Genomic DNA, 24,019 nt, shown 5'->3' with positions numbered 1-24,019 from the left:
CTTCTTCAATGCAGCAGGAGGCCCCAGCTCTGCCTCCAGAGTCCTCTATGGAGAGTCTAACTCTACCGAATCATGAGGTGTCAGTTCAACCTCCAGGTGAGGATCAAGCTTATTATCACTTGCCCAACATTACAGTTAAACCTGCAGATGTGGAGGTTACCATAACTTCAGAGCCTACCAATGAGACAGAATCTTCCCAAGCCCAGCAGGAGACCCCAATTCAGTTTCCAGAGGAGGTGGAACCTTCTGCAACCCAACAGGAGGCCCCAATTGAGCCTCCAGTTTCTCCTATGGAGCATGAACTTTCCATCAGTGAGCAGCAGCAGCCAGTTCAGCCTTCTGAGTCTTCTAGGGAGGTCGAATCTTCTCTGACCCAGCAGGAGACCCCAGGTCAGCCTCCAGAACATCATGAAGTCACAGTTTCACCTCCAGGTCACCATCAAACTCATCATTTAGATTCACCCAGTGTCTCTGTGAAGCCTCCAGACGTGCAGCTCACCATAGCAGCAGAGCCTAGTGCAGAGGTGGGAACTTCTCTAGTCCACCAGGAGGCTACAGCTCGGCTCTCAGGGTCAGGTAATGATGTAGAACCTCCCGCCATCCAGCACGGGGGCCCACCTCTGCTTCCAGAGTCATCAGAAGAAGCTGGACCTTTAGCAGTTCAACAGGAGACTTCATTTCAATCTCCGGAACCTATTAATAATGAGAACCCCTCTCCAACCCAGCAGGAGGCTGCAGCTGAGCATCCACAGACCGCTGAGGAGGGTGAGTCTTCCCTAACCCATCAGGAGGCCCCAGCTCAGACTCCAGAGTTCCCTAATGTAGTTGTAGCTCAACCTCCAGAGCATTCACACCTGACTCAAGCCACAGTTCAACCTTTGGATCTGGGGTTTACCATCACTCCAGAATCCATGACAGAGGTTGAACTTTCTCCAACCATGAAGGAGACCCCAACTCAGCCTCCTAAGAAAGTTGTACCCCAACTTCGAGTATATCAAGGGGTAACAAATCCAACACCAGGTCAGGATCAAGCTCAGCATCCAGTGTCACCCAGCGTTACAGTTCAACTTTTGGACCTGGGACTTACCATCACTCCAGAACCCACTACGGAGGTTGGACATTCTACAGCCCCGAAGAGGACTATAGTTTCTCCAAAGCATCCTGAGGTGACACTTCCACATCCAGACCAGGTTCAGACTCAGCATTCACACCTGACTCGAGCCACAGTTCAACCTTTGGACCTGGGGTTTACCATCACTCCAAAATCCATGACAGAGGTTGAACCTTCTACAGCCCTGATGACTACAGCTCCTCCTCCAGGACACCCTGAGGTGACACTTCCACCTTCAGACAAGGGTCAGGCTCAGCATTCACACCTGACTCAAGCCACCGTTCAACCTCTGGACCTGGAGCTTACCATAACTACAAAACCTACTACAGAGGTTAAACCATCTCCAACCACAGAGGAGACCTCAACTCAGCCTCCAGACCTGGGACTTGCCATCATTCCAGAACCCACTACAGAGACTGGACATTCTACAGCCCTGGAGAAGACTACAGCTCCTCATCCAGACCGGGTTCAGAGTCTGCATCGAAGCCTGACTGAAGTCACAGGTCCACCTACTGAACTAGAACCTGCTCAGGATTCACTGGTGCAGTCTGAAAGTTACACCCAAAATAAGGCTTTAACTGCACCAGAGGAACAGAAGGCCTCCACAAGCACCAACATATGTGAGCTCTGTACCTGCGGAGATGAGATGTTGTCATGTATTGATCTCAACCCAGAGCAGAGGCTCCGCCAAGTGCCTGTGCCAGAGCCCAACACCCACAATGGCACCTTCACCATCTTGTAAGAATCACTTTTCCTCAATTGTCCTCTGTGTCCTGCCTGACATGGCAGCCTTTTCCTGGAGGCCTTCCTGGGCCTTCTTTATCTCCCCAAGCCATATGGACAACTGACTTTCTGCTTTCACCTTTGCTTGTCAACTCTCCCTTCTCCTCATTCTCTTTTAATGTTAGGTCCCTTCTCCAGTCTTTTCCTTTTACTCTGGTCTTTTACTCGTTTTTGTATCCATTTTTATTTAGCCCCATCACATCATTGCTTAACCGCTGCTCTCCTCCCATTTTCGCTTCACCCTCTTTACAGCAGCCTGTCCCTCTCCCGATCTCAGTGATGATGCTCTAAGTGGTTAAGAGTTGATTCCGGAGCCAGGCTGCCTGGGTTTGAACCCAGATCTATTTATTAGCTTGGTGACCCAGAGCAAGTTATTCTGCCTGTGACTCAATTTCCTCACCTTTAAACTGGGGATCATGCTAGTTAGCATTTCATAGGATTGTTGTGAAATTTAGGTGAGTGAATATATGAAACACTTCATCAGTGCTTAGCATATGTAGGAGAGTTGGCTGTTCACATGATTATTCAGTCCTTTAGTTTTGTCCAGAACTCATTTTTGTCCCTAGCTTTCTATATGTAGAACTAGTTTTATGTCAAACCCAGGGCCAAGTATGCTACTGTCTCCAGAACACGAAAATGATAGGAGGGAAGAGGCTGGGTGTGGTGGCTCACGCCTGTAATCCCAGCACTTTGGGAGGCCGAGGCGGGCGGATCATGAGGTCAGGAGATCAAGACCATCCTGGCTAACATGGTGAAACCCCATCTCTACTAAAAATACAGAAAAAAATTAGTCAGGCATGGTGGTGGGTGCCTGGAGTCCCAGCTACTCGGGAGGCTGAGGCAGGAGAATGGCGTGAACCTGGGAGGCAGAGCTTGCAGTGAGCCGAGATTGCACCACTGCACTCCAGCCTGGGTGACAGAGCAAGACTCCATCTCAAAAAAAAAAAAAAAAAAAAATGATAGGAGGGAAGAAAGAGAATAGGCATAAAAAGGGAGGTATATATAATTAAGTACTAAAAGATAATGCAGACCATTGGTGCTAGAATTTGCCAGAATCTGTGATCCTTGAGGTGTGGAGATGCTACATGGGTAAGCTAAAACTTTACTTGGGTCTTAAAGAGTAGCTATAATTTGTTAAATAGAAGAAAAATGGGAGTACAGTCTAGGCAAACGCATGGCTACAGGTATGGTTGGAATTTAGTAGACCAATGTGGCTACAAAGAATTAGGTGAGGGAGCAATGAAGATACGATTCTGTAAAACCTTGATTATCAGCTATAGGAGTTTGAAAGTTACACAATGAGGTATGGAAAGCCATTGAAAGTTTCCAAGCAAGAGAGATTACATGATCAAAACAGGAAGATTATTTTATTTTGTTTTTTGCATTATGTGCAAGTGTAGACATGCAGAGGATTGTTTTAGAATCCATATGTAAAGTGTCCAAAAGGAAAAGCTTAATTCAGGGAGACAAAATAGAAAGGTCTAGCAAAATCTAGGAGTGAAGTGTGAAGGGGCCAAATCAGATCAGTTGTAATAGGAGTGGAAAGAAAAAGCCTAGGATGTTTCAACAGAGGGCACTGGGCCAAAGCTTTGGTGTTACCTGGCATAGGGTTTCTTTCTTCTCATTTGTTGATAATGATAAGCTTTTGCCCATATTTCTGTGGAATTATTTACCATTTTGGTACTGATTTGTAGAAGTCTGTTTAGACACATAAGTGCTTTTAGATAAAATACTTACATTCAAAGTAATTAACTGGCATCATCTGTCCAAGAGATGGGATGGATAAGAAGTTAAGCTTCCAGGAGATGCCTCATCATTTGTGCCAGTGACCCCGCATAATTTCTTGATGAATTGTGCAAACTGGGAAGCTGATAGCTCTGGAAATGAGAAAGCAGGTGTTATTTTCTGTTTCTGAATATCCCCAACAAGGTTGCAATGATTCTTTTACTTATCGTGTTCATTGTTTTCCTACCTATTCAAGGATATAAACTGTGTTTCTTCACAGAAATTTCCAAGGAAACTATATTTCTTACATTGATGGAAATGTATGGAAAGCATACAGTTGGACTGAGAAACTGTGAGTATATTCTCTCCAAATATGACAAAAAGCTAACTGCATTGTAAGATCCTTCTTGGTCCAGAATTTTGAGGTCGGTACCTCTGAGGAAAGATATTTCTCCTCCATGCCCCAAATCAACCACTGTTGATTGCAATTGTATGGTCATTTTAAAATTAAATTTGGTAGGCTCTCTTTAAAATAAGAGGCAATTTAAATTTATTTTTTATCATACAAATAGTACATGGTTATATTCCTTTTTGTTCTCTTTTTTGTTTTTTTTTCAGAGACAGGGTCTTACTTTGTCCTCTGGGCTGCAGTGCAGTGGCACAATCACAGCTCACTGCAGCCTTCACCTCCCAGGCCCAAGTGATCCTCTCACCTCAGCCTCCCCAGTAGCTGGGACCACAGGTGCATGCCACCACACCCACCTAATTTTGTATTTTTTGTAGAGACAGGGTCTTCCTATGCTGCTTAGGCTGGTCTTGAACTCCTGGGCTCAAGTGATCCTCCCACTTTGGCCTCTTAAAGTGTTCATATTACAGGCATGAGCCACCACCCGCAGCCCATGATTCCATTTTTAATATATAAAAATGCAATAACAGATATAACAAAAACTCTCCTTGTGCCCTACTCCCTCATCCCTGAAGTAATGCTACTCTGCATTTAGTATACATGCTTCCAGACTTTTCCTCATTTACCTACATACATATTTACATAAAGCAAAATAGATTTGTTTTGTGGTTTTAAAATTTTTTCTTCGCATAAAGGGTAACATCTTGCAACTTAATTCTTTCACTTCATGATATGCCTTAGATTTCTTTCCTTCCCAGTACTTAGAGGGTCACCCCATTCATTTAAACTCCTGCATAATCCATAGTATGGATGCATCATGGTTTATTTAATAATTCCCCCATTGATGAATGTTTAGATTATGCTTAGTTTTCTTGTTACATGCATTGCTGCAATGAAATCCCTGTACATGCTTCTTTGTGAACATGTGCAAGTATTCCTGTAGCATAGATATCTGGAAATGGAATTCTTGGGGTGAAGACTATGTAGATATAAAATTTTAATTGCCTTCAAAAATTTTGTGCCAACTTACTCTATTGTCAGCAGAATATGACAGCATTCATTTCCCAACACCTTTTCACCGCTGGGTATTCTCCAACTTTTTGCTGAAGTTATGGATGAATAAAAGGGATTCCATCTAAATGTGAATTTTTCTGATTACTCATGAATTTAATTTAGTATCTTTATATGTTTATTGAACATTTGTGTTTCTTCTCTGAGTTTTCTGGCCTTTGTTCATTTTCCTGTTGAATTGTTTTATCATTTTCTTACTGATTTATAGAAGGAATTGGTTTAGACACATAAGTGATTTTGGAAAAAATGCTTACATTCAAAGTAACTGACATTTTTCACAACAGTTTGTGTGTCACATCATTATTTCAATGTACATAGACAAGCCACGATGAGTTCTAAATTAAAAATAAACATATGCTAGGCGCGGTGGCTCACACCTTTAATCCCAGCACCTTGGGAGGTAGGCGGATCACCTGAGGTCAGGAGTTTGAGACCAGCCTGGCCGATAGGGCGAAACCCCATCTCTACTAAAAATACAAAAAGTAGCCAGGCGTGGTGGTGGGTGCCTGTAATCCCATCTACTTGGGAAGCTGAGGCAGGAGAATGGCTTTATTTATTTTTTCAGATGGAATTTTGTTCTTGTTGCCCAGGCTGGAGTGCAATGGTGCGATCTTGGCTCACTGCAACCTCCACCTCCCGGGTTCAAGCGATTCTCCTGCCTCAGCCTCCTGGGTAGCTGGAATTACAGGTGCCCTCCATCACACCCAGCTAATTTTTATATTTTTAGTAGAGACAGGGTTTCACCATGTTGGCCAGGCTGGTCTCAAACTCATGACCGTGGGTGATTCACCCACCTTGGCTTTCCAGAGTGCTGGGATTACAGGCATGAGCCACCACGCCAGGCCAGAACTACATTTTAAAAACAAGAAAATTATTACAAAGGTCAGGATAGTGGTTACCTATTAGGGTTAGAGAGAGGGATATGATTGGAAAGGGGCACACTGGGGCTTCTGGCATGCTAGCAATGATCTTTTGTAACGATGTTTACATGGGTATCTGCTTCATAATTATTAAACTGAATATTTTGGCCAGGTGAGGTGGCTCATGTCTGCAGTCACAGCACTTTGGGAAGCAGACACAGGAGGATCACTTGAGCCAGGAGTTTGAGACCAGTCTGGGAACAGAGTGAGACCCTGTCTCAAAAATTAAATTAAATTAAATATAAACAACATTTATGTTATGTGCACTTTATGCACATTATAGTTCTCCAATTTTTTTGATGGGGGGAAAAAGGTTGAATGGCTTCACTTGCAGCCCTGACATGGTTCCATGTGGGGCTTTCATAATAAGGTTTGGGAAAAGAGAGGAGGAAATGGAGGTTCTGCTGATCTTGGTGCCACCCAGAGTTGGATTCTAAAAGGGATTTTGTGATCTAGAGAGGAGGCATGAAATAATAGAATTTGGTGGGAAGAAACCCACTCTTCAAGGGGTGTGCTTGAGTGTGTGTGTGTGTGTTTGTGGTGGTGGTGGAGAGAGATGGACACAAAAAGGAAAATATAAGAAAAGGTTTGAATGAAAGCAGAGCAGATCCCACCATCTTGAAGTGACCATGACCCAGCTTTCCTCCACATGCAGGAGATGGTTCTGTGTAGCAAATAGTTGTAGTTTGCATTTTAATCTAGAAATAACTTCTTCATTTTCCAGAATTCTCAGAGAAAATAACTTGACTGAATTACACAAGGATTCATTTGAAGGCCTGCTATCCCTCCAGTATTTGTAAGTTAGTTAATTATATTTATGAGTTTTTAGTCATATTATCTGTAAAATGAATAAGGGGTTCAAATTAGATAATCTCTCAGATTTCTTTGAGCAATAAAATTCTGCAATTCTGTAAGTTTGTATAGGGTCTCAGCCCATCTCTAGCACTAGCTACCTCCTGTGCATTTTCAGTTTTTAAGTTATATAGACAAAATACAGACAAAAACATTTCACATGGTAAGAAAATCTGAGCAGTGACTGACACCCATATGAACCTTGTTTTATAAGGGTTCACATATCATTCTTTTTCTATTCAGTCTACAACCAATAGATCCAATCTAATTTATGGTCTATTTTTAAATAGCCCATTAAGTTAAGAATGGGTTTTGCATTTTTAAAGGGACTGTGAAAGAAAAAGAAAAGAAACAAAGAAATATGCGAGAGATCATATGTGGCCCATAAAACCTAAAATATTTACTGTCTGACCTTCACCAAAAAAAATTTCAAAAAGTTGGTTTAGTAGGATGAAAGGAACTAAAGTTAACTTCAGATGGTTGCCTAAAGGAGAAGAAAATGGAGACCACCTGCATTCATTTGAACATCATTAATCCAGAATTTTTTGGTAATTTAATCGGAATTAAATTAACATTTAAATATTAAAAATAGCTGAATTATATCAATAATATTATCAAGAATATTAAGCTACCAAGAGAATAGACTGGTATTAAGGATTTCATTTCAGGAATTGTTATATTAAAACAGATGTTTAAAATGATGGTTAACTGGTAGAGCTAGAAATGTTTACACTAAGAAGCACATCAGAAATGCCCCTAACTCTTCACTAATTACAAAATAACGATCGCCCCAGCCCTGTTACCAGAAAGGGATCCCTGTATTTCTGTCTGTTTAGAGACAAGAAGATACTATGTTCATTGCTATGAAAGCTTGATTCTTACCCTTTGTCCATAGAGGTCTGTATGTCATTAATCCTTATTAAGCTCATTAGTGATGCTCTTTTGCAAACAGATTCTTTCAAATATAGAAGGCTTAAGGAAAGTGGGTGTAAAGACCCTCAGGTGGATGCCAAAGTGCTACAGAGACCATGAAATAATAAAACTACATTTCCTTTAAAATAGTTATTTTCCTTCTACTCACTCCCCCAGCTATTCATTTATTTTACAAATATTTGAGTTTGCTTTATTTCCATGTGTCAGTTTTAAACATGGTGGGCAATGCAGATGAGCAAGACCTAGTCCATGCTTTCAGGGAGTTTATGCTCAGAAGAAATGGGATAAAAAATAACTACATTAAGAAGAAGAAATGGATGTGGGCACTAGGAGGGATAAATTGTTTCTCGAACATAGAAGAGGAAAAAATGCCTTCAATTTGGACCCAGGAGGATGTTACTAGAACAATGCCATTTGAATAGGACTTTGAAGGGCCATTGTGTAACATCAGACAGACATCTTGGGGAAAATACTCTAAACTTGCAAAAGGAAAATGGGAGGGCAAAACACAGGAAAGTATTCAAGGAATGCCATGAGTACCCGTAGAGTACAAGAAGGGAGAGTAGGAAAATGGAGCCAGATCTTCTAGAGCTTTGAATGCCAAGCTGAGGAGCCAACATGGGGAACCGTGTTACCACAGCAGCGCTGTAAGGTAGATCTGCATCACAGTCATTGAGAGGGCACGTTAGAACTCAGTTCTGGACTCCACCCTCGTAGTTACTGATTCAGTTGGTCTAGAGTGGGACCAAGAATTTGCATCTTCAGTAATTTCCCAGGAGATGCTGGTCTTTGCAAGCCACTTCTGGAGAGTTTATATGATGACTGTGTGCAGGATAGTTTAGGTAGGGAGAGACTAGAGATGGAGATATCAGCCAGACAACGTTACACCATCCAGGTAAAGAGGGAGGGACAAACTCCATCACTGTATAACTGAAGAAATTTTTTTTTTATGAAATATTAAAGCAATACAAAACCAAAAATGAATTTCTATTAATATGATAGAAATTAATTCTATTAATATGATTTGAATTAGTTCAAAGTTATGTATTAGGTAAAGGGGTAGCTTCCTTTCAAATGATGTGAAAGGATGTCTTTTATTTCTTCTGATATTGAAGTGGCTTAGGAAAACAGACCTAAACTAAGAAGGTGTAGAAATGTGAGACTTGTTTGTTTGTTTGTTTGTTTGTTTGAGACGGAATCTCGCTCTGTCGCCCAGGCTGGAGTGCAGTGGTGCAATCTTGGCTCACTGCAAGGTCCGCCTCCTGGGTTCATGCCATTCTCCTGCCTCAGCCTCCTGAGCAGCTAGGACTACAGGCACGTGCCACTAGGCCCAGCTAATTTTTTTTTTTTTTTTGTAGAGACAGGGTTTCACCGTGTTAGCCAGGATGGTCTCGATATCCTGACCTCAGGATCTGCCAGCCTCGGCCTCCGAAAGTGCTGGATTACAGGCCTGAGCCACCGCACCCGGCCCGACTATTTTTTTTAATATTAGAAATTGTGTATATAGAGATAAAATCTTTGAGCTCATAATCTAAGATTTGATGACACTACAAAAGGGCATCTAATCAAGTCTACTGCTCTCAGGAAAAATTAATTCCAAAGTCTATTATGTTGTATATTTATTAAAACCATGAAGGTGAGACTCTAGGAGAGGTATGGGCAGGGTTAGGGGCTCTGGAATGTTCCAATACAAGTCCAAACGTTTAGAGTTGAGATGAAAAATAGGTATTCAGTATTATTCTAAACTCTTGCTGTTATTCATACCAATTGACATTTAATAACTAATCAAGGCAATATTTTTGTTTTCCTAGAGATTTATCCTGCAATAAAATACAGTCTATTGAAAGACATACATTTGAACCACTACCATTTTTGAAGTTTATGTAAGTTACAAATATAACTTGATTACATTTGGAATTTTTATAAAACTTAATTATAAACCTTTTTGCTATTCTTGAAATATGATTAAAATTTTACCAGTAGAAAGCTACTAAAATTATACAGCAAATCCTTTTTGTCTCTAGCAAGGATTATTGTGAGAATTATTACACAGATCTTAGTGAATCATCAGAGAGCAGTGGTTCTCAGGTGGTGTGATTTTGCACTCAGGTGGCATTTGGTAATGTCCGGAGACAGTTTTGGTTGACAAAACTGTGGGTGTGCTCCTGGCATCTGGTGGGCAAAGGCCAGAGATGCTGCTAAACATCCTTCAAGGTATAAGACAAACCCCCATGGCAAAGAGTTATATAGTCCAAAATGTTGATGGCACTGAAGTTGTGAAATCCTGTTCTAGAGAAATAAAGATCACTTAACACAGGTATTTACTGAGCATTCACTGTTTTGTATCTAATGCACCACATGTGCAGTGTTAAAGTATAAATCATAAGCCAGTATCTTCCACAGTCAGATTTCCTTAGTGCATAGAGAAAGGATTGAGGTTATGTTCCATCCTATATAAATTAGAATCATGGCAAATGATAAATGTTCTGAAATAATTTTTTTTTTCTTTGGCTTGTGTCTTTTTTTTTTAGAAATCTTAGTTGCAATGTAATTACAGAACTCAGCTTTGGAACATTTCAGGCCTGGCACGGAATGCAGTTTTTACATAAGTTGTAAGTGAAATAGAAGATGAATACATGTAAACAACTATTTATGTACAAAAACTCATACAATTATTGGGTAGCTGGGTATAAGCCCATTATCAACTCTGAAAAGCGTGTCTTAAGATCCATTCATTTTTCTCAAATGGGGAAGCTAAGGTACAAAGAGGCCAAGAGACTTACGTAGCTTATATATGACCTCCTCTGCTTGTCCTAGTTCTGACCTATAGCATGGGCAAGAAAAGGCATCAAAGAAGTGACCCTCAAATTAGCCTTGTTGCTGGGCGGGGTGGCTCAGACCTGTAATCCCAGAACTTTGGGAGCCGAGGTGGGTGGATCACCCGAGGTCAGGAATTCAACACCAGCCTGGCCAACATAGTGAAACCCTGTCCCTACTATAAATACAAAAAAATTAGCTGGGCGTGGTGGTGCAGTTTTTTGCTCCCTGGAGGACTTTGTGTTAAGCTTCCTTCCTTGCAGCTAAATGTTGCAGACATTTAAGCAGTTAGAAACTCTGCATATGAGCAGGAATCAAATCCAAAGTTGTAGGGCCAGAATGGTGGCTCATGCCTGTAATCCCAGCACCTTGGGAGGCCAAGGTGGGAGGATCACTGGAGGTCAGGAGTTTGAGACCAGCCTGGCCAACATGGCAAAACCTCATCTCTACTAAAAATACAAAAATTAGCAGGTCATGGTGGCGGGCACCTGTGATCCTAGCTATCGGGAGGCTGAGGCACGAGAATGGCTTGAACCCGGGAGGTGGAAGTTGCAGTGAGCCGAGATTGTGCCACTACCCTCCAACCTCCCCTCCAGGCTGGTCTCAAACTCCTCTGACCTCAGGTGATCCGCCCACCTCAGCCTCCCAAAGTGCTGGGGTTACAGGTGTGAGCCACCATGCCTGGCCAAGATGGTGTTTATGTTAAGCTATTGTGCAAAAAAAAACTTTTGTAAAGAAAATATATCGCTGTATCTTAATTCCATATACTTTCCTGACTACTCTTCTACCATAATTGCAAAAATTCTATGATTTCTCTGTATAACATACCCATCAAATCAGAGTGGGTATATTCAGTGGCCTGAAGGGGACTCAAGGTGAAGATTCTCCTCTACATCTGACTTTAGAAAAGACTTTCCACCTGCCTTGTGGTTCAGAAATCTAGTTTCACACAGTTCATTTCAAGTTAGAGGGAGGCATTCAGGATGTGTCTGGACTAGAGCAGCAGTTTCTGCACATGCTCCCCTCTGTCCTCATTAATTTGCTGATGCATAACTTAGGAAAAGTACACTAAAGGTCTGTTTTTCTTTTGCCCTCACACCAGAGAACAGGCTCATTAGGTCCCTCCACCAAGAGGTTTAGGTAGCATCAATACAAATGTTTTAAACTCACCATCTTTACTAAGCACTTTATACCACTGGGAGTCCCTCATAAAAATCTGGTGGCCGGGAGCAGTGGCTCATGCCTGTAATTCCAGCACTTTGCTGAGGTGGGTGGATCACCTGAGGTCAGGAGTTCAAGACCAGCCTGACCAACATGGTGAAACCTGTCTCTACTAAAAATACAAAAATTAGCTGGGCATGGTGGCAGGCAACTGTAATCCTAGGTACTCAGGAGGCTGAGGCAGAAGAATCACTTGAAACCAGGAGGCGGAGGTTGCAGTGAGCCGAGATGGCACCATTGCACTCCAGCCTGAGGGACAGAGTGAGACTCTGTCTCAAATAATAATAATAATAATAATAATCATCATCATCATCATCATCTAGCCAGCTTCACTACAATTACGTAGGCAACACCAGGAAAACACTGGAATCACAGTTGATAAAAATTAATGAATTCATTCAAAAACATTCAGAGTGCCATGTCCATTTGTGCCACGTACTGTACTAAGTGCTGGGGCTACAAAATCCATCTCAAAGACACACCAAGATGAGGACTTTGTCCCCAGGGGACTTTCATTCCTCAAGGAGGAAGCGGATGCTGATGGGAAAACATATGAGAGCCATGTGGGGATCTGTACGGCAGGGTGACAAGGAGAAGACAAAGCAGGAATGGGGGCTGGGTTAAGAAAGACTTGAGAGACACTAACTTGCTTATCTTGAGTTTCTGTGTTCATCTTAAAGAACAGAAAAAGGCATTTGCTTCATGGTGATGAAAAAATCAGAGCTAGCTGATATTGGAAACTAGCACTCATTTCATATAAACAGAATAGAGCTGTACCCTTCAAACTAAGTCACAGTTACTTTCAAAGATTGGCACAAGGGTCTCAACACATCAAGTGTATGTTAGGGGCTGGGCTCCGTTGGAGTCAAATCTTCCTGGTAAACAAAGCTACACTGCAGTCATATTTGGCATATGTGACATATAGGCCCACTGCATTTCCTTCCAAAGGCAAGATGCCAAGGGAAGGTGCCAGTAATTTTATGACCAATATGACACCATTTTGTGGTGTTTGTAAGTTGAAACAATATATTTCCCTGCATTACACAAGTTTATAAAAAACAAACAAAAAAAGAGGCCCCAGCTGTGGTTGATCGATGATGAATTGAATAGAGCCTAACCTTCCAGGCTTCTCACTTGCACAGGCCCTTCCAAGGTCCTGGGAGGGCCCCTGGAAATTTTTGTAGTCATAATTTTTTTAATGTTTTTACTAGATAAGGCTCAGGCCCCACAAAATCCTGAAATCATCCCTGGGTTCCAATAGTTACAACCCAGTAAATCTCTTGAATGAAGCCTCTATGTTATTGACAAATACTGACTGGCCAAGTTAGCAGGGTGATAGGGTCAGTCTATTTTGAATCTGAAATCCATCTCAAAGACAGGCCAAGAGCTTATTAGTGGACTTAACTGGATTCTGCTGGCCCAAGCGCAGTAAAGTCAAACAACCATATCGAGGTTTTGCACTGGGGAAAGGAGGACATTTATTTGCAGGGCATCCAAGCAAGAAGGACCAGGCGGCTAACTATCAAAGTCCCTCACTGAATGGGGGCAATAATCATATCTCTTACAGATGAAATCATGAATGAAATGGTTTATGGAAAAGCAGCAATGGTTGATAATCCTAAATGTTAAGTATGTTTATATTTTTTCCCTGACTTTAAAGTGCTTCTCCTTCATTCCTATACACAGGTCCAGACTGATGGCTTATTTTTTAAAATTCTCTTAGTCACTTCATTGGTTCTAACAATAATTTTAGAAACTGGATGACTTTGCAATGTAGAAAGGCTATACTTTATTCAGATAGAGTACACTCACATATTGGCTTGTCTATGGCACATCGATATCATGCCAAGAATGTAAGCACTAAGAGAGAATAAGAGGAAAATCCAGGCTTTATCCCTATTGAATTATTTATCCCACTATTAGAATATTAGTGAGGTAGGTGTGGCCACACTGTGATGGCAAATTGAGCTTCGGTCACAAACATGCCTTACTGTTCCCCCCAGTCTACTGACATCAGCTTCCTTTACATAGCGGTAGATGCACAAAAGTTTGCACAGTTGAGGGTATTGTCATCATGTTTTGGTATGTACTGGAATCCTGGCAGCTTCTTCTCTGATTCGGAGAGGCGCAAACATTAAAGACAAAAAGAACAACTCGAGTCTGTCCTTTGGGGTGATTTAGGGTGGCTGTTTAAATTTGTAGTGGTTGAAAAGTCTTGAGATTGTCACACCTAGCAACTCATACTTTTCTTCTCTCAGCTGCAGCTTGTTCTTTTCACCTGTGTAACAAGCTGTCTTCTCTTCTCACAGAAGCTTAGCATTTCTTCCTCTGCCCCATAGCATTTTTTTCAATACTTAATTTACCAGGTGCTGTTTATGTTGTAGGCACCTAAGTACTTATACCAGTGAGATAACATGTCCGAAGTTCTTAGAACAGTGCTTGGCCTATGGTAAATGCTCCATACATGTTACCTCCTATGATACCTCATTTTTATTTTTCCAACAACTCTTGCGATGCAGTTATTATTATCATTTCTATTTTGCAGATGAGGAAGTTGAAACTCAGAGATGCTAGGTAATTTGCTAAGGTTCACACGGCTAATAAGTGGCAGAACCACTTACAAGCTTTGCAAGTAATTTTCAATGCAGCTCTTAGTTCCCCTGTAATAGGAGCTGAATGATGACAATTTGGCTTTGTGTGCATTGTATCTTACTTTCTAACTTGAATAGGACCTGTAGAGCAGTGAGCTCCACTTCCCTCTGAGAATCCCACGCTTCTGGAGCTCCTGGCTGTACCAGCTCTGGGCATCCCCAGGGTTTATGCTCACCGGTCAGTGCTGGTGTGACATGATGGCTGAGCACCGGCACTGTGTCCAGCGCATTGCTAGGCACTAGACACGTGCTCTTTCATTTATTCCTCAAATTGCTTTGTGCTGTAAATGCTACCCAGAAAGGCTCATGTTCATTACTCAAGTCACTTCACCAGAAAGTGACAGAGCCAGAATTCAAACCCAGGTCTGCCAGATTCCAGGTCCCTTGCTTCTTCTGTTGTTGCTCATTGCAAGGGAGTCTTCTTCAAGGTTATTCTCAGGACTTTGATTAAGATACAGGCTCACAGCTGGGCATGGTGTCTCATGCTGTAATCTCAGCACTTTGGGAGGCCAAGGTGGGTGGATCACTTGAGCTCAGAAGTTCGAGACCAGCCTGGCCAACATGGTGAAACCCTGTCTCTACTAAAAATACAAAAATTAACCAGGCATGGGGACGGGCATCTATGATCCCAGCTACTCTGAAGGCTGAGGCAGGAGAATCACTTGACTCCAGGAGGTGGAGGTTGCAGTGAGCCAAGATCACACCACTGCACTGCACTCCAGCCTGGGCAACAGAGTGAGACTTCATCTCAAAAAAAAAAAAAAAAAAGGAAAAAGGCTCACCATTTCAGATTCTCTAGTTTTTGCCCCTGAAAAAGCATTTACATGATGCAGTCCGAGGTCTTGTATGGAGGAGCTTGGTGTGGGGAGATGTGTGGCTCACGAACCTATGTAGGTGAATAAAGGAAAGAGGTTACTTTCTCCCCAAGTACATCGCGCATATTGGGTGAGGGTCTAGGTCATCTGCTTATTTCTTTGACTACCTTCTTCCATGGAACCAGTTTTCCCTGACAGCCTTGGGATTCTAGCATAGATCATTTTGGAGTTTGTCATTTAAATTTATTTTCACGGCCTGCTTTGGACATTTTTTCAGCTAGAGCTGTTAGGATTTCAGTACATTTAAGACAGTGATGACATGCTCCAGTCCTTTCATCTCTGTCTCCTCAGTTAATAGAAAGGAAACATAGCTCATCTATCTGGACCTGTACAGAAGAATTTGGAGGGAAAAAAAAAAAACAGGCAAGAAATGTTCCCTTATTTTGTGAGCTACCTTTATTCTGTCCCATTGTTCTACAGCAAAAGGCTTGTATAAAAATATTTCAGTTTTCCTCATCTAATAAGGCATATTTAATAAAATTATTTAGAGCAGTACTTCTTAAACTTTTACTCTGAGACAGTCTTTGAGGCTGAAAAAAAGCTTGCCACATTTTACTTCCATAAAGATACCAAAAAGGCGATGGACTGGGAGTCAGTGCACCTTAGTTTAATGTATAAAATGAAGGACTTGAACCAGAAATGGAAATGGTCATCTACTGTGAATCTAAAAACACTCGAGGCTGGGCGCGCTGGCTCATGCCTGTAATCCCAGCACTTTAGGAGGCCAAGACAGGCAGATCGCTTGAGCCCCTGGAGTTCAAGTTCAGCCTGGGCAACAAAGTGAGACCCCAATCTCTACAAAAAGACTTTTAAAAAGTGGAAACATAAATATAAATAAATAAAAACATTCATATCATTTGGTTTGTGGAAAAGAGTTGCTGTAGAGTCCTCAAACTTGAGCCGTTGAGCCAGTTCCCACTCAGTCTCTCCATGGCCCAGGCACAACCTTAGTCAAGAAAAGAATGCCTTAGAACAGGAGGAAAAGAGGATAATATCGAATGGCCCTATATTTTGATTTCATTAGGGACAAATGCAAAGATCCTAATGTCAGCTGGAGAAGAGCTTCCTAGTTCAGAGGTAATGCTGAGCTCAAGGCTATGGATGAGCTATCAAGAAAGAGGGAAGGTTGGAGAGTGAGAGAATTTTGGAGGAAAGATAACAAACTTTGCCAAGTTGTTTGGCTACATACTGCCTTACAGTCATTATTTTTGGTGTTTAAAAAAAAATAGAAACAGGGTCTCACTTTGTTACCCAGGCTGGTCTCAAACTCCTGGGCTCAAGCTCTCCTTCTGCTTTGGCCTCCCAAAGTGCTGAGATTACAGGCTTGAGATGCTGTGCCCAGCCTACATTCATTTTTAATAGCTGGGAGGAAAGTGGGCAGAGGAAGATATAGAATGAAGGGGTAGCCGACTTTGTACAGAGCCCACCAGTGGTCTTACAAGTTTTCATGCCAAAAAAAATCACGAAGGATATTTAAAGCCCTAGTTTGAGAATCCATACTTAACCAGTCATGTGGCACTCACATTCTTTCTCTTTGTAACATCATCTTATTGAATATTAGTGTTACAAAACAAGTTAATGGCACTGAAAAACCATCTGGAATAGGAAGAGGAGGGGGATCACAAGGCAGGACAAGCTGTGTGGCTCCCAGCCTCGCCACTGACTCACTCTGATCTTGGTCAAGGGAGAGTGAATCTTCACTCCTCTTTTTTCCATCTGCCAGCATGTTTGGTCTTCTGGCACCTGGTGTTCTATACAGTACAACATGCTTCTTTGTGTTACATTGAGACTTGATCCACATACCATCAACGCAGTATTATAAAGTGTACAATTCAGTGGTGGTTAGTATATTCTCAAGGTTGTATAGCAAACAATCACCATTATCTAACCCCAGAACATTTTCATCATCCCAAAAAGAAACATGGTACCCATTAGCCATCACTCCCCAGTGCTGTCTTCCCGCAGGCCCAGGTAACTACTAATCTACTTTGAGTCCCTATGGATTTGCCTATTCTAGATCTTTCATATAAACGAATCATACAGTATGTGGCCTTTTGTGTCTAGTTTCTTTTCACGAAGCATGTTGTTTCTAAGGTCCTCCCATGCTGCAGCATGGATCATTCCTTTGCAAGGCTGAGTGATATTCCATTGTATGGAGCCATCACTATATCCGTTCATCCATTCATCACTTAGTGGACATGTGGTTGTTTCTACTTTATTTTGGCTTTTATGAATAATGCTGCTATGGACATGCATGTACTACTTTTTGCGTGGACATGTTTTTAATTCTAGGGTGCATCCCTAGCAGAATTGCTAGATCGTATGGCAACTCTTATGTTTAACTTTTTGAGGACCTGTCAGGCTGATTTCCACAGTGGCTGCTCCATTTTACACTTCCATCTGCAATGTTTGAGGGTTTCAATTTCTCCTGGTCTTTGTCAACACTGTCGTTGTCTGTCTCTTCTCATAGCCATCCCAGTGAGTGTAAAGTAGTATCTCGCTGCAGTTTTTGATGGACATTTCCCTAATGATTTAAGACATTCAACATTTTTATGTGTATATGAGCCATTTATATATCTTCTTTGAAGAAATATTTATTCACATCCTCTGCCCATTTAAAAAATTGATTTGTCTTTTTATTGAATTATAGGAATTTCTCTATATCTTCTGGATACTCTGGATATTAGACCTTAACAGATAATTTGCCAATATTTTCTCTCATCCTGTGAGTTCTGTGACTTTCTTGCCAGTGTCCTTTGATGCACAAAAGTTTTTAATTTTGATAAAATCTAATGTATCTATTTTTCCTTTGGTTGTTTGTGCTTTTGGTGTCATGTGTGTGTATAAAATGTCTTATTCTTCTTTAAAAAGGTTCAGTGTTTGGTTTTAAATCAGGCTGTGTCCCTTTCATCTGTCTGACATTCTTGTCACCATGTCAGGCTGCCTTCAGCTAGTAATACTTCATTAAATTCAAAAGACAAAATTGTTTTAAAAGAAAAAAAATCCAGTTTGGAGAAGAAAAAACTGTTGTCTAATTTAAGGTCATGAGATTTACTCTCATGTTTTTGTGTAAGAGTCTTATCGTTTTGGCTCTTACATTTAGGTATTTGACATATTTTGCATCAATTCTTATAATCGTGTGAGATGTAGGGGGTCCACCTTCATTATTTTGCACATAGATGTTCAGTTGTTCCAGCACCATTTAAAAAAAAAAAAACATTATTTCCACGTAGAATTGTTGTAGCACCCTTGTCAAAAATCAATTTTCCATAAATGTGAGGGTTTATTTCTGGGTTGTCAATTCTATTCTATTGATTTATTTGTCTGTCCACATTCCAGTATCACACTGTGATTGCTGTAGATTTGATTTGGGTTTTGAAATTGGGACATTTGAGTCTTCCCACTTTGTTATTTTACAAGATTATTTTGCTATTTAGGGTGCCTTAAATTGCATTATAATTTTAGAACTAGCTTGTCACTTTCTGGAAAGAAGCCAGCTGGGATTTTGATAAGAATTGTACTGATAATAGCAAAGATATGTAATCAACCCAAACGCCCAACCTAACTGCTATGTTATTCCTATTCCAATACTTTGCAATATATGTAGCTTTTTAGAAAGAGGATATGTTAGCAGGGCGCAGTGGCTCACACCTGTAATCCCAGCACTTTGGGAGGCTGAGGCAGGTGGATTGCCTGAGGTCAGGAGTTAGAGACCAGCCTGGACAACATGGTGAAACCCCGTGTCTACTAAAAGTACAAAAATTAGCAGGGGGTGGTGGCAGGCACCTGTAATCCCAGCTACTCAGGAGGCTGAGGTAGGAGAATCACTTGAACCCAGGAGGTGGAGGTTGCAGTAAGCCGAGGTCACGCCATTGCACTCCAGCCTGGGCGACAGAGCGAGACTCCGTCTCAAAAAAAAAAGAAAAATGAACAGTAAAAAAACAAAATGTTTGTGGCCAGATGCAGTGGTGCATACCTATAATCCCTGTACTTTGGGAGGCCAAGGAAGGAGGATTGCTTGAGGCCAGGAGTTTGAGACCAGCCTGGGCAACATAGTGAGACCCTATCTCTAAAAATTTTTTTTAGTTAGCCGAGTGTGGTGGTGCGCACCTGTAGTCTCAGCTACATCTTAATTTTATAACGTTGTAGTTCAGATTAATTCCAACTTTGTTTCAATGGTATACAAAAACTTCGCTTCTCTAAAGCTCCACTCTCACCCCCTCCTTTATACTGTTATTGTCACACATTACATCTTTATATACTTTATGTTCATCAACTAGATTTATAATTATTGCATTATGTAAGTATCTTTTTCTTATTTTTTTTTCTTTATTTTGGGACAGAGTCTCACTCTGTTGCCCAGGCTAGAGTGCAGTGGCACAATCTTTACTCGCCACAACCTCTGCCTCCCAGGTTCAAGCGATTCTAGTGCCTCAGCCTCCTGAGTAGCTGGGACTGCAGGCACGTAACACCACACCCAGCTAATTTTTGTATTTTTAGTAGAGACAGGGTTTCACCATGTTTGCCAGGCTGGTCTCAACCTCTTGACCTCAAGTGATCCTCCAGCCTCAGCCTCCCAAAGTGCTGGGATTACAGGCCTGAGCCACTGCGCCCAGCAAGTGCTTTTTATTTCTTTGTGCAGATTCACGTTAGTACTCCTTATAGGGCAGGTCTTCTAGCAACAAAGTCTCTCAGTTTTTATTTATCTAGAATATCTTAATTTCTCTTCAATTTCAAAGGTAGTTTTGCCAGGTATAGAATTATTGGTTGACAGTTTCTTCAGCACTTTGAATATGCCATTTCATTGCCTTTTGTCCTCCACTGTTGTGTGTGGTTGCTTTGTTTTTAGACAGGGACTTGCTCTGTTACCCAGGCTGGAGTGCAGTGGTGCAACCACTCACATCGTTGCAGCCTCCACTTCCCAGGCTTAAGCAATGCTGTCACCTCAGCCTCCTGGGTAGCTGAGACTGCAGGCATGCACCACCATGCCCAGTTATTTTTAAATTTTTTGTAGAGACAGGGTTTTACTCTATTGCCAGTGCTGGTATCCAACTCCTGGCTTCAAGCAATTCTTGAGCCTCAAGCCTCCCAAGGCACTGGGAGTACAGGTGTGAGCAACCATGCCCAGCATCTCCATTGTTTTTGAAGAGAAATCAGCTATTAATCTTATTGAGGATCCCTTGTATGTGATGAGTTGCTTTTCTCTTGCTGCTTTCAAGATATTCTGTCTTTGGCTTCTGTCAGTTTGATTACAGTATGTTTAGATGTGGATCCCTCAGTTTTTCCTACTTGTAGTTCCTTGAGCTTCTTGAATATGCAGATTGTTTTTCATCATGTTTGGGAAGTTTGGGGCCATTATTTCTTCAAATATTCTTTCTCCTTTTTTCTGTTTTTCTTCTCCTGGGACTCTCATTATGTGTATGTTAGTAAGCTTGATGATGTGTTCCACAAACAGGTCTCTGAGATTCCATTCACTTTCATTCATTTTTATTTCTGTTCCTCAGAGTCAACAATCTCAATTAACCTTCAAGTTCCCCATTCTTCCTTCGGCTTGCTGTAATGTGCCATTGAGAACCTCTAATAATTTTTCCATTTCAGTTACCATACTTTTCAACTCTAGAATTTCTATTTGACTCCTTTTTATGGTTTCTATCTCTTTATTGATATTCTCTATTTGATGAGACATTGCTTTCATACTTTCCTTTAGTTTTCTAGTCTACAGAACTGAATCATTTCTCTTATCTCTTTGAATATATTTTAAATAGCTGAATTAAATCCTTCTCTAGGCCAGGCATGGTGGCTCATGCCTATAATCCCAGCACTTTGGGAGGCTGAGGCTGAGGTTGAGGCTGAGGCCAGGAGTTCAAGACCACCCTGGGTAACTTCGCAAGACCCCAACTATAAAAAATAAAAAAATCTTTGTCTAGTAAGTCTAATATCTGGTCTTTCTCAGGGACAATTTCTGCTTATTTCTCCCCCCACCAAGTGTTTGGGCCATACTTTGTTTCCTTGCATCTTTCATAAATGTTTGTTAAAAATTGAATATTTTAAATAATATAATGTAGCAATTCTGAAAATCAGATCCATGCTGCCAGGGTTTGGTGTTACTGCTGCTTGTGTTAGTAGTTGCTATTTATTTAGTGACTTTTCTGAACTTCTTCTGTAAAGTGTTGCATTATATGTCATGTGTTGCCACTAAAGTATCTCCTTGGTTAGCTTACCGATCAGCTAATGATTAAATGAAGATTTACTTAAATTCTTGGAACTGATAAGTCTCCTAGTTTTTGCCAAGGGGCTCTGTGTACATGTTGGGGCATACCTTCAGCACTCAGCTAGACAATTTACAGCCATGCCTTAGCTTTCACTTCTTGCTTGTGCAGAACCTCAAGATCAGCCAGGGGTGAGAGTTTATGAACTTAGTAGGTCTTTCCTGACCATGCTGGCAGCCTGCCCTATGCATGCGCATGACATTGCAAATTGCCAGGAATATGTCTTATGGACTTCTAGTTTCCCAAGCATATATCAGAGTGTTTCAAAATTCCTGTGGACATCTTATTACTCAGCTTTTCCTATTAAGCTTTTCGATTAGGCTTTTTTTCCCCAAACTGTTATTCATTGCCGAATACAGTTGCCATGTTAAAACACTTGTCTGTAATTGTTTTCCAAAAACACCCTCTGTGGAGAGGCTTTAGCACTAGACAGCTTTCATTCTGGTCAAATAAAGACAAACCTTTCAAATGAGGTCTTCCAGGGAACCACCAGACAGATGACATCATGACAGTTAACTGAGAATAAGGCTTTGAAGGAGCTCCAGCTCCATTCTGCTCCCTCTGCTTGGGGATGTGGGCTGTTTTTCAAGGCAACTACTGAGCTAGAGAGTGAGGAATGGTCTAAGGCAAGTTAACACAAATCTCACTGTTCTTACAGAAATTTTTCTTGAATAAATGCTCCTCGGGTTGCTGCAAGACTTTGGTTACATTTCTAGAGTTCTGAAAAAGTTTATTATGGTCAATTTTTTTTTTTGCCCTTTTCTTGGTGTTTGTTGCTTTTATGAAGGGATGAATTTTTGGATGTCTCTTTTTTTTTTTTTTTTTTTTTTTTTTTTTTTTTTTTTTGAGACAGAGTCTCACTCTGTTGCCCAGGCTGGAGTGTGCAGTGGCGCAATCTCGTCTCACTGCAAGCTCCACCTCCTGGGTTCACACAATTCTCCTGCCTCAGCCTCCCGAGTGGCTGGGACTACAGGCGCCTGCCACCACGCCCAGCTAATTTTTGTATATTTAGTACAGACGGGGTTTCGCCTTGTTAGCCAGGATGGTCTCGATCCCCTGACCTCGTGATCCACCTGCCTCAGCCTCCCAAAGTGCTGGGATTACAGGCGTGAGCCACTGCGCCCAGCCTCGATGTCTTTATTCCACCATTTTCACTGATGTCACTTACAACATGGTTTTAAATGTCTGAAGGCTCACTGGGCACATGCCTGTAGTCCCAGATACTCGGGAGGCAAAGGAAGAAGGATCCTTCGAGTCCAGGAATTCTGGGCTGTAGCATGCTATGCTGATTGGGTGTCCGCACTAAGTTCAGCATCAGTATGGTGACCTCCCGGGAAAAGGAGACCACCAGGTTGCCTAAAAAGGGGTGTACCAGCCCAGTTCAGGAATAGAGCAGGTCAAAACTCCCATGCTGATCACTAGTGGGATCATGGCTGTGAATAGCCACTGCTCTCCAGCCTGGGCAACACAGTGAGTGAGAATGTGTCTCTTAAAAAAAGAAGTCTCATCGACCATAGACTAATTAACTATTTAATCATGGGAAATGATTAGGGGAAAGACATAAAAAGAGAAACTGTAATCCACTTTTTTTTGCTCTATCGCCCAGGCTGGAGTACAGTGGCTTGATCTTGGCTCACTGCAACCTCCGCCTCCCGGGTTCAAGCAATTCTCCTGCCTCAGCCTCTGAAACAGCTGGAATTACAGGCAAGCGCTGCCATGCCCTGCTAATGAGAAATTGTAATTCTCATAGAGGTCCTCCCAGAGGAGTAGAAGAAGGTTGAAAGGCACTTCTGTATTTAGTCTTCTCAATATTAAGGCTGGGCCCAGTGGCTCACACCAGCACTTTGGGAGGCCAAGGCAGGTGGATCACTTGAGATCAGGAGTTCAAGACCAGCCTGGCAAACATGGCGAAACTCCCATCTCTACTAAAAACACAAAAAATAGCCAGGCGTGGTGGTGCGTGCCTATAGTCCCAGCAATTTGGGAGACTGAGGAAGGAGGGTTACCTGAGCTTGGGAAGAGGAGGTTGCAGTGAGCCAAGATCACGCCACTGCACTCCAGCCTGGTCAATGGAGCAAGACCCTGTTTGGGTGGGGAGGGGAGGGGAGTGGACGGGAGAGGAGAAAGGAAAGAAAGGAAAGGAAAGAAAATAGAAAGAAGGAAGGGGGAGGGAAGGAAGGAAGGAAAAAGAGAGAGAAAGAAAAAGAATGAAGAACGAAAATAAAAATTTTTTAAAAACCTAAGGTTAAAATAAACCCTTTTTCTTCATACATAAACACATGAGTTCAAATTACAGCTTTGCTGCTTAATAGCTTGGTGACCTAGGACAAGTTATATAACCTCTCTGTGCCTCAGTTTCCTCATTTAAAAATAGGGCAATAATAA

The 24,019-nt window shown here is 41.7% G+C and overlaps 1 long non-coding RNA gene and 1 pseudogene across 9 annotated transcripts in view; both read right to left on the bottom strand.

The window, feature by feature from the left end:
* LOC105369225 (uncharacterized) overlaps positions 1 to 24,019 on the bottom strand; it is a 72,359-nt gene that overhangs the window by 13,655 nt on the left and 34,685 nt on the right. For 4 of the 9 annotated variants that reach the window (XR_007065814.1, XR_007065816.1, XR_001752910.3 and 1 more), the window contains one exon: positions 3,632 to 3,771. This is a non-coding gene — a long non-coding RNA (uncharacterized LOC105369225). The other 5 variants (XR_007065815.1, XR_001752909.2, XR_002958152.2 and 2 more) reach the window with 4 other exon arrangements.
* On the bottom strand, positions 13,605 to 23,726 carry LOC102724345 (ARF like GTPase 17A pseudogene; annotated as a pseudogene).

The sequence above is a fragment of the Homo sapiens genome, chromosome 17 (assembly GCF_000001405.40).
Source record: "Homo sapiens chromosome 17, GRCh38.p14 Primary Assembly".
Classification (NCBI taxonomy): Eukaryota; Metazoa; Chordata; class Mammalia; order Primates; family Hominidae; genus Homo; species Homo sapiens.
This window is presented reverse-complemented; position numbering and strand designations above follow the sequence as displayed.